A 13190-nucleotide genomic window follows, 5' to 3' on the forward strand; every position below is an offset into this window, starting at 1 on the left:
TCCTGTACTACTCAAAAAAATCACGGTCATGAAGACAAAGGGGAATTAAAGAAGTGTTCCAGATTAAAGTGGACTAAAGAGGCCAGGCATGGTGGCTCATGCCTGTAATCCCAGCACTTTGGGAGGCTGTGGGGGCGGATCATGAAGTCATGAGTCCAAGACCAGCCTGGTCAGATGGTGAAGCCCCGTCTCTACTAAAAACTACAAAAAATTAGCCAGGCGTGGTGGCCGGTGCCTGTAATCCCAGCTACTCCAGAGGCTGAGGCAGGAGAATCGCTTGAACCCAGGTGGCAGAGGTTGTGGTAGACCGAGATTGCGCCACTGCTCTTCATCCATGGAGTGAGACTCCATCTCAAAAAAAAATTGACTAAAGAGACATGACACCTGAATGCAACGCCTTAGACTGGATTGGATCTTGGACTTGGAAGAAATAACTGTAAAGAACATTATTGAGATAATTAACAAATTTGATTATAGATTACAAGTAAGACAAATATTTTATGTGTGTAAAATTTTCTGATTTTAATAATTGTACTGTGATTATTGTCTTGCTCTATTTGGTGCTGCTATAACAGAATACCTAAGACTGGGTAATTTATAATCAACAGAAATTTATTGGCTCACAGTTCTAGAGCCTGGGAAGTCCAAGATCAAGTCACAAGCATCTGGTGAGGGCCTTCTTGAGTGCAAGAGAGTGAACCCACACAGGACTGGGTTCACTCTCTTGCACTCTTGCTGATCCTCACAAGGAAGAAGGAAGATCAGCAAGGGTGCAAGACAGTGAACCCAGTTCTATGCGCCCTTTCTATAATGGTATTCATCTATTCATAAAAGCAGAGTCCTCAAGACCTAAACACCTCTCATTAGATTCTACCTCCCAATACGGTCTCATTGGGGATTAAATTTTCAACATATGAATTCCAAAGGACCAATTCAACCCAAAGCATTCTGCCTCTGACCCATCAAATTTATTTCCTTCTAACATGCAAAATGCATTTATTTTAAAAGGTAGAAATAGGCAAAAAGAAAGTAGTAACAGGTCCCAAGCAAGTTCATAACACAACAGAGTGAAGAACACTGAATTCTAAGGTATGAAAATAATCTTTGTCGCCATGTTCCACCATCCAAACACTGGGAAAGGAGTTGGGCCCTAAGGCCTCAATAATCCCTGAAAACTACTGTTTTCTACTACTGTTAGAATGATACAGCAATTATTACCAGTACCCTACTCATGGTTCCAGCCCCTGTGACTTTTCTGGGCTCAGCCCACACAGCAACTGTCACAGGTTGGACTCATGCCTGCAGCTCTCCCAGGCTGGTATTGCACCCTTGTGGCTCTGCAGTTCTGGGGTCTTGAAGGTGGCTCCATTCACATGGATTCATTAAACATTGCCCTGTCAGGGACTCTCTGGGGTGACTCTGCCCCCGTGGCCAATCTCTACAGCATTCATTAAATCTAGATGGAGAAAATCATGTCTCCAATTGCCATGTATCCTGCATGATTATAAAACTAGCATCACATGAATGCCACTAAGGTTTATGGCTTATACCTCTAAAGTAGTGGCTGGAGACACACTTGGGCCTGCTTGAAACACAGCTGGGGTGGCTGAGAAGTGCAGCATCAAAATGAGGGAAGAAGAGGCCTAAGGTGGCTTTGGACAGTGAGCACTGAGGTCCCATGGGCACCAAGGATCTCTCCCTCAAAATCTCTCTGCCCTCAAGGCCCTGGCATTCTGGGCCTGTAATCAGAGTGGAGACTTGCCACTCTGAAATGCCTGCAGGGTCACTCCCCATTTCCTTGATGAATGGCTCCTGGCTTCCTTCTATCTACACTAGTCTTCTTATCAAACAGTCCTTTGGCCACACCCCTGTTTTTTTTTTTTTTTTTTCTCCTAAACAGGTCATTTATTCTTACATGGCCAGGTTGGGGATTTTCCAAATCTCTTCATTCTTCTACTCTTTTGATTGTAAATTTTAAGTCATTTCTCTCTTCTTGCATTTTACTATATATAGTAAAGAGAAGAGACAAAACTCCCTCAATGCTTTGCAGCTTACAGATTGCTTCTGGCAGATATCCTAGTTCATAGCTCTTAAATTCTGCCTTCCATAAAGCCCTAGGGCACGGATACAATTCAGCCAAGTTCTTTGCCACTTTAGAACAAGTGAAAAACTTGTTCTAACAAATTTAGAAATGCCATTGCCTTTCCTCCAGTTTCCAGTATCTTATTCCACATTTCCCTCTGAGACTTCCTCAGTATGGCCTTTACTTTCTGTATTTCTACTAACATTCTGTTCATGACTATAAACAGCTTTTATCTTCTTTTCATCTCTCACTAGCATTGCCCTTAATGTTCAGTTCACAGAAATTAGGACTTTTAAAGCCTGGTGCTTCAAATTCTTTCAGCTTCTACCCATTACCAACTTCTAAAACTGCTTTCACATTTTCAGGTATTTGTCAGCAATGCCCCACTCCTGGTACCAATTTCCTTTATAGCTCATTTTGTGCTGCTATAACAAAATACCAAATATTGGGTAATTTATAATGAACATAAATTTATTGACTCATGTTTCTGGAGGCTGGGAAGTCCAAAATCATAGCACTGACGTCTTGTGTCTGCAGAGGGTCTTCTTTCTGTGTCTTTACATGAAGGAAGGTACAAAGAAAAGAAGAAATAAATGTTGTGTCCTTACATGGCAAAAGAGTGAAAGAGAGTGAATTCACTCCCAAAAGCCTTTTATTATAGCAGCATTAATCTATTCGTGAGGGCAAAGTCCTCACAATCTAAAAACTTCCCATTAGGTCTGACCTTTCAATACTGTTGCATTCAGGATTAAGTTTCAAAATGAGTTTTGGGGGGGACAAAAACATTCAAACCATAGCAAGTATGAAAGAATGTTATTTTTCTTAAAAAGGAGACAATGAATTACTTAGGGTAAAGTGGCATTATCTGACATTTACTCTCATATAATTCAAGGGAAAAATACAACCAGACCAGGAGAGGGAGAGAATTATGCAACAAATGAAAACAATGTTAATTCATAAATCTGAGTAAAGAGTAAATGTAAATTCTTTACAGCATATTCAGACTTTTTAAAATAAGTATTAAATTAAATCAAAATTTAAATTTACCAAAATTCATTTTCTATCTGTCTCAATGCATGCTGGCTTCATGGATGTATAACCTACATTGTCACGCAGGCCTCATGTGCAGAAACTCCTCACACTTGACTTAATGCTGTCCTGTTGCTGTCTTAAAATTCTTAATAATCTTACCTTTGAATTGTATTTTGTAAGCCAAGTCACATAGAACAATGGAGCAAAGAAGATAAGCACAATATGTACACATTGTGCCCCGCTGCCATATATGCATATAGTGTTCATGGTGTCCTGAGAGTGCCTAATTCCAGTGGAACCACCATAAAAGCAAGTACAAGTAAGTGAGCTACTTCTTCAATGGAGTAATTATGCTAACAACCCAGAGATTCCATGCTTTCCTTTTGAACAGGGCTTGGTTCAAATACAGGAAAAAGGCGATGGCATTCTAAGAAACAGAAATGATCAAGGAACCCTGTTATATTTCTCTTATTTATGATATTCCTGTACTAACCAAACACCAAAGCTGAAAATAATGCCATAGAAGGAAAAGGAAAGACAGGGAGCTCATTGATCCTTTTTTTCAGTCCTTTCTTACTCAGCAAGACAAAGGTAAAGCATGTTAATAGACACTGCACACTTCAAGGAGCTAAAAACATTGGAGTCAGTTTTGTGCGGTATTTCCACTGTTCCAGTAAGAACAAAATAAATATGTGATATAAGCTACTAAATATGAATTGTGTAATTTTGGCTATTCTGGATATGAGTTAAATGTTCTTACTTTCGCATTTAAAACTTTCATTGTACACTACAAATATAAACAATAAACGCTACGCTAAAATTTAAAAGGCTAATTTTTCTTAATTTAGAAAAACATTAAATAGCAAATATAACCTCTGGAAAGTCAAGAAAGAAACTGCAGCAGCAGAAAAAACACTTTACATTGTAATACCTTTCATTTTTTTTTTTGCTTTTTGAAGAAGTGGCCTCACATTTTTCATGTTGCACTGGATCTGGAAGCTTGTGTATACTCAAATCCTCCCCAGTAGAAGCGACATTGTTGCATTATGTCAGAATCTCATTTTTACTTCTCTATCACTAACAGCATCTTTTAAATGTTTTCCTATGAAAACCTATGCAGTTCTCACTGCTCTGACTGCAGGGACAACCTTATTCATCTGATTTAGCTTCAAACACGGCACAAAGGTATGAATCTTTGGTATTTATAAAAGCTCATAAAACAATTCATTTTTAGAGCCCACCATTTGTGGAACAATGCTTAAAACCTGGATCAAATCCAGAGAAGAAAACCCAAGGAAGTCAGTGATTTAACCATTTGTTGCCAGAGGAACCACTGAAAGAATTATTTTGTGTCAAAAGTGGAAAAATCTGGGTGGCGTAGGAACATGAAAAGCTGTCCCCAGTTATAAGACTATAATAAGATTAGCTGCTGCCTGTTACTGAGTGCTTGCTATGTGCTGGACTTTCTGCCAGGTGCTTCACTAAACTTTTATTTCCTCCTTGAAACAGTTTTTTGAGGTAGATACTTTTATCTCATTTGATAGATAAGAAAGGGGCATGGAGAAATGGAAGGTCACACAACTCATAAGATGTACAGCTGATAATTAAACTTACATCTGCCCTAATACCAAATCTTGGCTGTTAATCTCTACCCTACAGTCTAAGAGCATTTGTTTAGTACAACTGAAGAGGTAAATTGAGAACAATGAGAGTAAAAATTATTGAGAGAAATATTTGATTTCAAGATAAAAGCATGGATCATTTTTATAGCCCCTGGTTTATGGAACAACATTTAAACCCTGGACCAAATCTAAGGGAGAAAACCCAGATAAGTGGGTGACTTAGCTACTTGTTTCATGAAGAACGACTGAAAAAACATGGAAAAATCAAAGTGTTCTGAAAGCTGCCAGTAAACAGAAGGCATTGTCCTTCAAAGTTATGGGCTTACCGCCACTAGTAATACTAGAAACAGCTTGAATGAACTTTGTAAGAGCATTTGTTAGAAAAGGTAATAGAATTTCAAAGGTAAAATCAAGGGTGATTGTGGACAAAGAACTTGAATTTGATTTCTATTTTAGCATTAAATAATTGTGAGATTTGAGGAAATTATTTAACTTGTCCAAGACTAAGTTTCTTCATCTGTGAAATAGGAATAATAATGCAACATGAGTTGCTGTGAAGATTGAATATAAAGTGAAGCACTCACTTCAGTACCTTGCATAGACAGCACCTATTCAGGAAGGATAACAATAACTATTTTGGTGTTCATGTGTGTGACAAAGGCAGTGATAAGAAAGGATTTCTACTTTGATTGAGGTATTGGACTAGGTAATATTAGAACTTTCTTCAATTATGAATTTATATAGAAAATGGGTCAATATCTAAAACTGTGAACTTGGCAGAAAGTTCAAGGCAGAAGTTAAAGATAGATAGAAAGATAGTAACTGGGATTTAAACTGAAACCCCAGGCACAGGTGGAGAATAAAGGCAGGATATAAATACCAAACACACTATTTCGGCATGAGGGAAGTGATTCTGTACCTGAGGAAGGTGAAGAAGGGCTGGAGGTTATATATTGCTCTCTAGCTATGTTCTCTAACATGGTAGCCACTAGAGTCATATGGCTGTAAAAATTTAAAAATCATGTTTTTAGTTTTTTTGTCATATTTGTAATTCCCAATAGCTGCATGCACCTAATGGTTACTGTCTTGGATAAAGAAGATGGAGAACATTTGCATCATTGCAGACAGCTCTATCGGACAGTGCCTATCTTCAGAAAAAGGCAAAGTGCTACTAGATCCTCAGACTAGATCCCTATTTTCTCTTCTTATTACGTCTAGCCACTTAATTTCCCCTTCCCTTGCTGACTATTTCGAAGGAAACCAAGAAAAGCTCTGTGGTAAGCAGAATTTTAAGAAAGCTTCCCAAATTTCCATCACTGGTATACACATCCTACGTAATCTTACTCCTTTGAGTGTGCGTGGGCCTAACCTACTCAGATAGGCCCTTTTAAATGAGGATCAAGAAATAAGACAAAGGAGAAGCCAGCAATTCAAAGCAACAGAGACATTCTGTTGCTAGCCTTAAAAGGAGCAAATGGCAATGTTGTGGAGAAAGCCATATAGCAGGGAATAGCAGGCAGATTCTAGAAACTCAGAGCAACCCTTGTCAATAGTAAGCACGAAAACTGGGATCTTGGTCCTACAATCAAAGGGAAATGAATTATGTCAACAACCTGAATGGCCTCAGAAGAGGACTCTGACCCTCAGATGAAAACCCAGCCATGATCAACACCTTGATGTCAACCTTGTGGGATGCTAAGCAAAGAACCCAGTTGAGCCCTGCCTGGACTTTGGACCTACAGAAATTTTAAATGGATATTGTTTCAAGCTCCCAAATGTGTGACACATTTGTTATGCTATAATAGAAAGCTAACATAAGCCACTTGTAAACACAATAACACACACACACATATGTGAAGCCCATTCACCATGCACTGGTTATCAACTTGTCTGAGGCTGGTAAGACAGAACACTTATGCATGTAAGTTACAGGAAGTTACAGGAAGCAGATGTATTACTTACAAATAGGCAGCAAAGGGCAGCAGAAGCCTAGGACTCATTGTGAGTCAGTTCTCTTAGGCTCAGGAAAGCTGCCTGGGGCAGATGGAGTCTCCACTGTGCATGCCCCACTTGCACCACAGCTGAGGGACCCTGAAGGGCAGGTTGCTCCAGGGTATATACCTCAGGGGCAACATAAAATGCTGGGCAAAAGTATTGAAATTTCTAGGGCAGAGAGAAAAAGCCTGTCATGTTCCAACCAGTCCCTTCCTTATCTCAGGATATTATATTCTCAAAACACGCTACAATTTTTTCCTGAGAACTGCAAATGAAAAAGGGGAGAGAAATGGGTCAGTCCAAGGCCACCCAGAGAACTGTCCTGCAACATACACACACACAGAGACAAACTCACCCACACTCATACATGCACACACTCATACACACACACATACACACACACATTTTTTTCTCCTTTAAAGCACACAAAAATATAGATTTTTAAAAACATAATGTGTTTTTGTTTCACTAGGATAAAGGTTTAAATGAAAATATGTTCAAAGTTTTACTGCTGGCAATGGCAGAGGCACAGAGAAGAGGTGAGGCAATTAGCTGGGATTCCAGCATTTTCACATTTTCTTTAAATAGAATCAAATGTACTTGATTCTCAACAACTCTGAAAAAGAAAAGAATACATTTATACTGTAACAAAGAGAACCCTTCCAAAGTGTTTGTTGTCTGCTTAAGATACCAATTTATCCCACATCATGGTTGAAATTGTTCTCCTATTTTCAGGTTAGATATCTGTACTCCAAGAGCCCCTGTTGATGTGTATTGTATTATGTCATATGTGGGTAAAGAGGGAACGGGTCTCATGAAAACTTGCTGCTAGCTTAACACAAGCTGATCTCTCACTTTCTAATAGAAAACAGACCTAAAGAGAATGGGCTTACTATGAGACAAGCTTGGAAAGGGAGGAGAGGAAATGGGAAAGATCAGGAAGTGTTTGCACAGCAGGCAGATCAGGATGGGCCCCTCGGTGAGCACCCTTCCCTGAGACAGAACAGCTGGAACACATGCCAGGCACCCAGAGGGCAAGGATGAAGCTTCAGAAAGGGGAAGTGAAGAAGACTGAGACTAATTTTACCCACTTGATAATTTTGCTCACTGCCCCCTGTTGTGTAAACACCAGCTTTTGGTCACATACACATTATCTGCCCTTAGAAAGAAAACATCTAAAGATGTCTTGCTGCCCTAGGTGGCTCTTGACAGGAACTTGAGGAATCCCTGAGGAGAGGAGATATTTTTAAGAAAGAACGAGAACCCAATTGACTTTGCCATTGATGAACTTTGTACAGCTCTTTGTCAGAGGGGAGATGGAAGACAGATTCAGAATCTATACATGAAACAAGGTTGCTGGGGAAAACAGACTTCTAATGGTTTTCTGCCACCCCTTTTGTAAAGAAAAATATCTTTGAAGGGGAATAATTTCTCAACAATAGTATTATTGCCATCTAAGGAATTACAGCAGACAGAAGAGGACAAGTATGAAATATAACTGACCAGTCAACTGAAATAAGCTGAAATTCGAAAACAGGTACACTGGATAGCATTGTGTTTAAATTTAGTTTACTATACTTTTAATAAAATAGAACATTCGAAATGTGCTGTTCTCTAATTTTTCCTCAGGTGAGTTAGCCTTGCCTGTCCATGTGTACCTTGAAGTCAGGGGTTTATTTTCTCTTGGATCCATCTTAAATCTATCACGCTGGGCAGGAGATAGAGGGCCAGTGGAAAGAGGCTGATTATTTAACCATAAACACTGATGTCAAAGGTCAAGACCAATAACTATTTATGTGCATATGACACAATGTCATCTTTATACTTACATACCCACCATGACATCCACATACCTCTCAAATATGGAAGTAGGCTATGGTGGAATGTGACAAATGTCTTGTGGTCCTCCCTATTCCTGGAGGGAAAAAAAAACCCAAAAGACAAAAAGTAGCATTTCTTCTCCTCAAGTCTCACCTTGATTCTACCTTCAAACAATGCGACATTCAATTATGCTATTAGAAGAAGAGCATTTCCCCAAGAGTGAGAATGCAAGACTGGCAGAATATTTGCTTTGTAAATTGGGGGTTACCTGTTCAACCTTATATACCCATAGATTCTTGGTGACTATGTCACATGCTTCAGTCAAAAGTAGTTGCAGCATACACTTTAAAGGACATACATCATCATACTTCAGCCAAACAGCTTCTATATGACAGCTTATAATTTTCTGACTAAATATAAGATTACTAGGAACATGCAGATAAAAATAAAGAAGCAGAAAAAAAGATAGGTTGACAAAACTAAGGCAGATGAAGGAATTCTTGGCTGCAATATCATTCATAAATTATAAGAATGACTACAGAATGCCATTTCAAGGGGAGTATTCTTCCTTCCCCAGAATACACTTTCCTGGGTGTATTTACATGAGTTAGGATTACATTTTTCCTACACAGCTGAACCCATCCTGGAGATTAGACATATAAAACTATTTTGACCATTAAACATAAGTTAAATGTTTTTTCTTTCAGATACCTGTAAATATATTATTATAGATGGTAGCATTTTAATATACTTCCAGGATACATTTAGAGTTTTCTGAAACTATCAATATTGAAAGAAAGAACCAAAGCTTGAAATTTTGGAGTATTAGTCCTTATTGCCTTCAATATAAAGCCTAAAAGACATAGCATAATCTTTTTCCTGCTCTTCCATTCAACACTATATTTTACCGTATCAGTTTGTTTTGCTGCATAACACATAAACCCAAACTTTGTGACTTATGTAACAATCATTTATATTGCTCAGTTTGGTGATTTGGATGGGTTCAGATGGGTAATTTTTCTGGTCTCAACTGGGTTCACTTATACATCTATGACCAGGTGCCAGATTGGCTTGTAGCAGGTTGTTTGGGGATGGCCTCAGCCGGAATGGCCTTTGCGCCACATGGTTTTTCATTGTCGGGTAGCTCAACTCGTGCTTGTTCACATAGTGGCTGGGCAGGTTTCCAGGTGAGTGAAGAGAAGTATCAAGATCTTTTATGTCTATGTTCAGAACCGGCACCTTTCTTCTGCCACATTCTGTTGGCCGAGTAAGTTAAAAAATTACTTTTGATTCAAGGGGTAAATAGACTCAACCTCTTGATGGGAACATCTAAAAAGTCATATTATTAATTTCATGGATCTAGGGTGGGGAATACTTACATTCTTGTTGGCAGTTTTGCTTTCCGTGGTTTCAGTTACCTCACAGTCAACCTCAGTCTGAAAATAGTAAATGCAAAATTCCAGAAGTAAAGATTCGTCAGTTTTAAAGTGTGTGTGCTTTTTGAGTAGCATGATGAAATCTCTTGCCATCCCATTCTGCTCCCTTGGGGCATTTTTGCAAATAATTTACTACACACCCTAGATTCTCGATTATATACTTTTAATACTCTGAGTGGGTGATATTCTCCCTTACCTCTATGCCTTTACATATACGGTGACCTCTTCCGCATGTTTCACTGCTTCTATTCTCTAATGCCTTTCACGTATACATCAAGATTAGGCCAATATTACTTCTATTAGGAAGACTCCTCTGAACTCTGGACTAGATAGGTTCCCCTCCTCTGAGCTCTTGTAATCCTTAGTTTGTGCATCCTTACAAAAAGGTATTAAAATTTTTCTATCATTAAAATGCCTCCCATAGTTGAGAGAAGAATTAAGAGATTTTTAAAATTTATTTTCATAACACAAGGTCTCATAGATAGTATTCAATACATGTTTATTAACCAATAAGAATGTATTAGATATTCATACACAATTGCCAGCAGTAGTGAATCAGTATATGTTTTATAGGTATGAACTTTAAAGTTTCTCTCTCTCTCAGCCCAGCCTAAAAGATGTGAAATTTCATAAAATTAATCTAAATAGTCACTATTTAAAAAAAAATCAGAGCAACTGAACTGTTCTATCCAACAATTTCTTCTCCAAAAGATAAAATTGGATCCTTAATGTTATCAACTAATTCAGACACCGTAAGTTATACAGTGTGTTAAAAAAGTAATGCACCTGGCAATCAGTCCTGAAGGACTCCATTTGTCACCTCTCCATGAGGATTTCCTACAATTTACTGCTATCCTACATATTTTAGGCTACAATCAGTTTTGTAGCTAAGTTGGCACTTAGACTGAAGTCTAGCATTTTGTTCATTAACTTTTTCTATGATAGACTGTCAAAAGTCCCATCTGAACTCCTGTTAAATTACGTCTACTTCTGTACCCTAATATAATTACTTGGTCACTGCCATGGCAAACTATAAATTGTCTGATAAAACCTATTTTTCCTTTCAGTGACCTAAAATACAAGTTTCTATTTTTTACTTAAATGGGTCAAATTGCTTGTTTCTCATAAAGGATTTCAAAATTTTGGTTGTTTTAATTCAGGTACTTACCCTCTTAACTTTTATATATAATACAGATGCATAGTATACATGATTACACTATCTCTCTCCCCAAATAGCCTGACACTCATTTATTAGTGGTTCAATAGCTTCAATTAGAAACAAAAAAGTTTAATAAAATCATACTTCCTCTAAGTCTCAAAACAAGGAAAATACATTACATCATTACATCTGATGTATGAGATAAAAAATCAGTTTTCACTCTGATTTGATAAACTCTCACTGTAAATTTTTCTGAAAAGTACAATTTCAATGAGCAATGGAAGATTTGACATCCCACAAAAATATTTTTATAACTTCTCTTTTTATTTTTAGCCAATTTTTGTATTTTTAAAAATGTTTTAATTCTTATACATGTAGAAGTTAAAAGTACAGATTTCTTACATGCCTATATTACATAGTCATGAAGTCTGGGCTTTAGTGTTACTTGAACCTATTACTCGAACAGTGAACATTGTACCCAGTAGGTAATTCCTCAAGCCTCATTTTCCTCTCACCATCCCACCTTTTGGAGTCTCCAATGTCTATTATTCCACTCTGTATGATCCCATGTACCTGTTGTTTAGCACCAACTTATACTTGAGAATGTGGTATTTCACCTTCTGGTTTTGAGTTATTTTACTTAGGATAACAGTCTCCAGTTCCATCCATGTTGTGGCAAAATATATAATTTCATCTTTTTCATGACTGAATAGAATTCCTATACCTATCTATCTATGTTATCTATAGATATATATATATCTTCCTATATATATATCTTAAGATATATATATATCTTCCTATATATATATCTTAAGATATATATATATATCTTCCTATATATATATCTTAAGATATATATATATCTTCCTATATATATATCTTAAGATATATATATATCTTCCTATATATGTATCTTAAGATATATATATATCTTCCTATATATATATCTTAAGATATATATATATCTTCCTATATATATCTTAAGATATATATATATCTTCCTATATATATATCTTAAGATATATATATATATCTTCCTATATATATCTTAAGATATATATATATCTTCCTATATATATATCTTAAGATATATATTTTTCCTATATATATATCTCTTGAGATACTTCCTATATATATATCACATTTTCTTTATCTGATCCTGTTGATGAACACTAGTTTGATACTCTATTTTTGCTATTGTGAATAGTTATGCTTGACTAATTTTAGTATTTACTAATGACTTTTTAAATGTACTTTGACTTTAAATGTACTTTGTACTAATGACTTTTTAAGTACTGTTCCTTGATTTATTTATTGTTAAAATAGAACTTACAGATAAAAATCACCTAGGCATGTTATCTACTTCATAGGTTCGTCATAAGGGCTAAACACAACATAGGTAATGCACAAGCACATAACCTGGTACATCATGAGCATTCAATGAATGTTATCTATTGTTTTTAAAATTAGTTCCAACTTTATACAATAATTTCTCACAATAACTTTACAGCATTTTCCCTCTCATTTAATTTGAAATGACAGGATTACCTTCATGGAAGCCTTGTAAAACACTACTTATTTTACAATTCTTCATGACCTTCAATCCAGACATTTTTTTTTCCTTTGGATAAAATATTTCTTATTCTTAAATCTTTCCAGCTTTATATTCTAATGCCCTAGCATTTTTTAATCTCAAAGCTAATGTGAGTGGCAAGTTAGCCAAGTGGTACATTATAAAGATGGCATCAAATACTCTCCATATTCACAGAATTGGACTTTCCCATATTCACGAGGACTACAGGCCAGAGTTTAAGCTGGCTCCTGTTTCTCAGTCCTGAATTAGACCCACCTTGTACCATGATGACTGCTATTGCTTCCTGCAGATGGCTTTGAGCTGAAGGTTTCTTGACGCATAAGCGTTATCATGCTTTAAAACTATGTTTTAAGAGGAAAGTCTTTGGAATTTTATTAGGTTTAAAACTACAAACTTTTATGTGTTTAAAACTTGACATGGTTATTTGCAGCTATGTGACTCTGGGCAA

General features: G+C 36.8%; 1 long non-coding RNA gene across 1 annotated transcript in view; it reads right to left on the minus strand.

Annotated features, from left to right (window-relative positions):
- The window catches only part of LOC101929485 (uncharacterized), a 254397-nt gene extending 243770 nt beyond the window's left edge, over positions 1-10627 (minus strand). The window contains exons 1-2 of the long non-coding RNA XR_007095992.1: positions 9933-10627; positions 8586-8647 (exon numbers count right to left, since the gene is read on the minus strand). This is a non-coding gene — a long non-coding RNA (uncharacterized LOC101929485). The remainder of the gene's footprint in view (positions 1-8585; positions 8648-9932) is intronic.
- Between the last annotated feature and the right edge of the window lie 2563 nt (positions 10628-13190).

Source organism: Homo sapiens, chromosome 3, assembly GCF_000001405.40.
Source record: "Homo sapiens chromosome 3, GRCh38.p14 Primary Assembly".
Taxonomy (NCBI): Eukaryota; Metazoa; Chordata; class Mammalia; order Primates; family Hominidae; genus Homo; species Homo sapiens.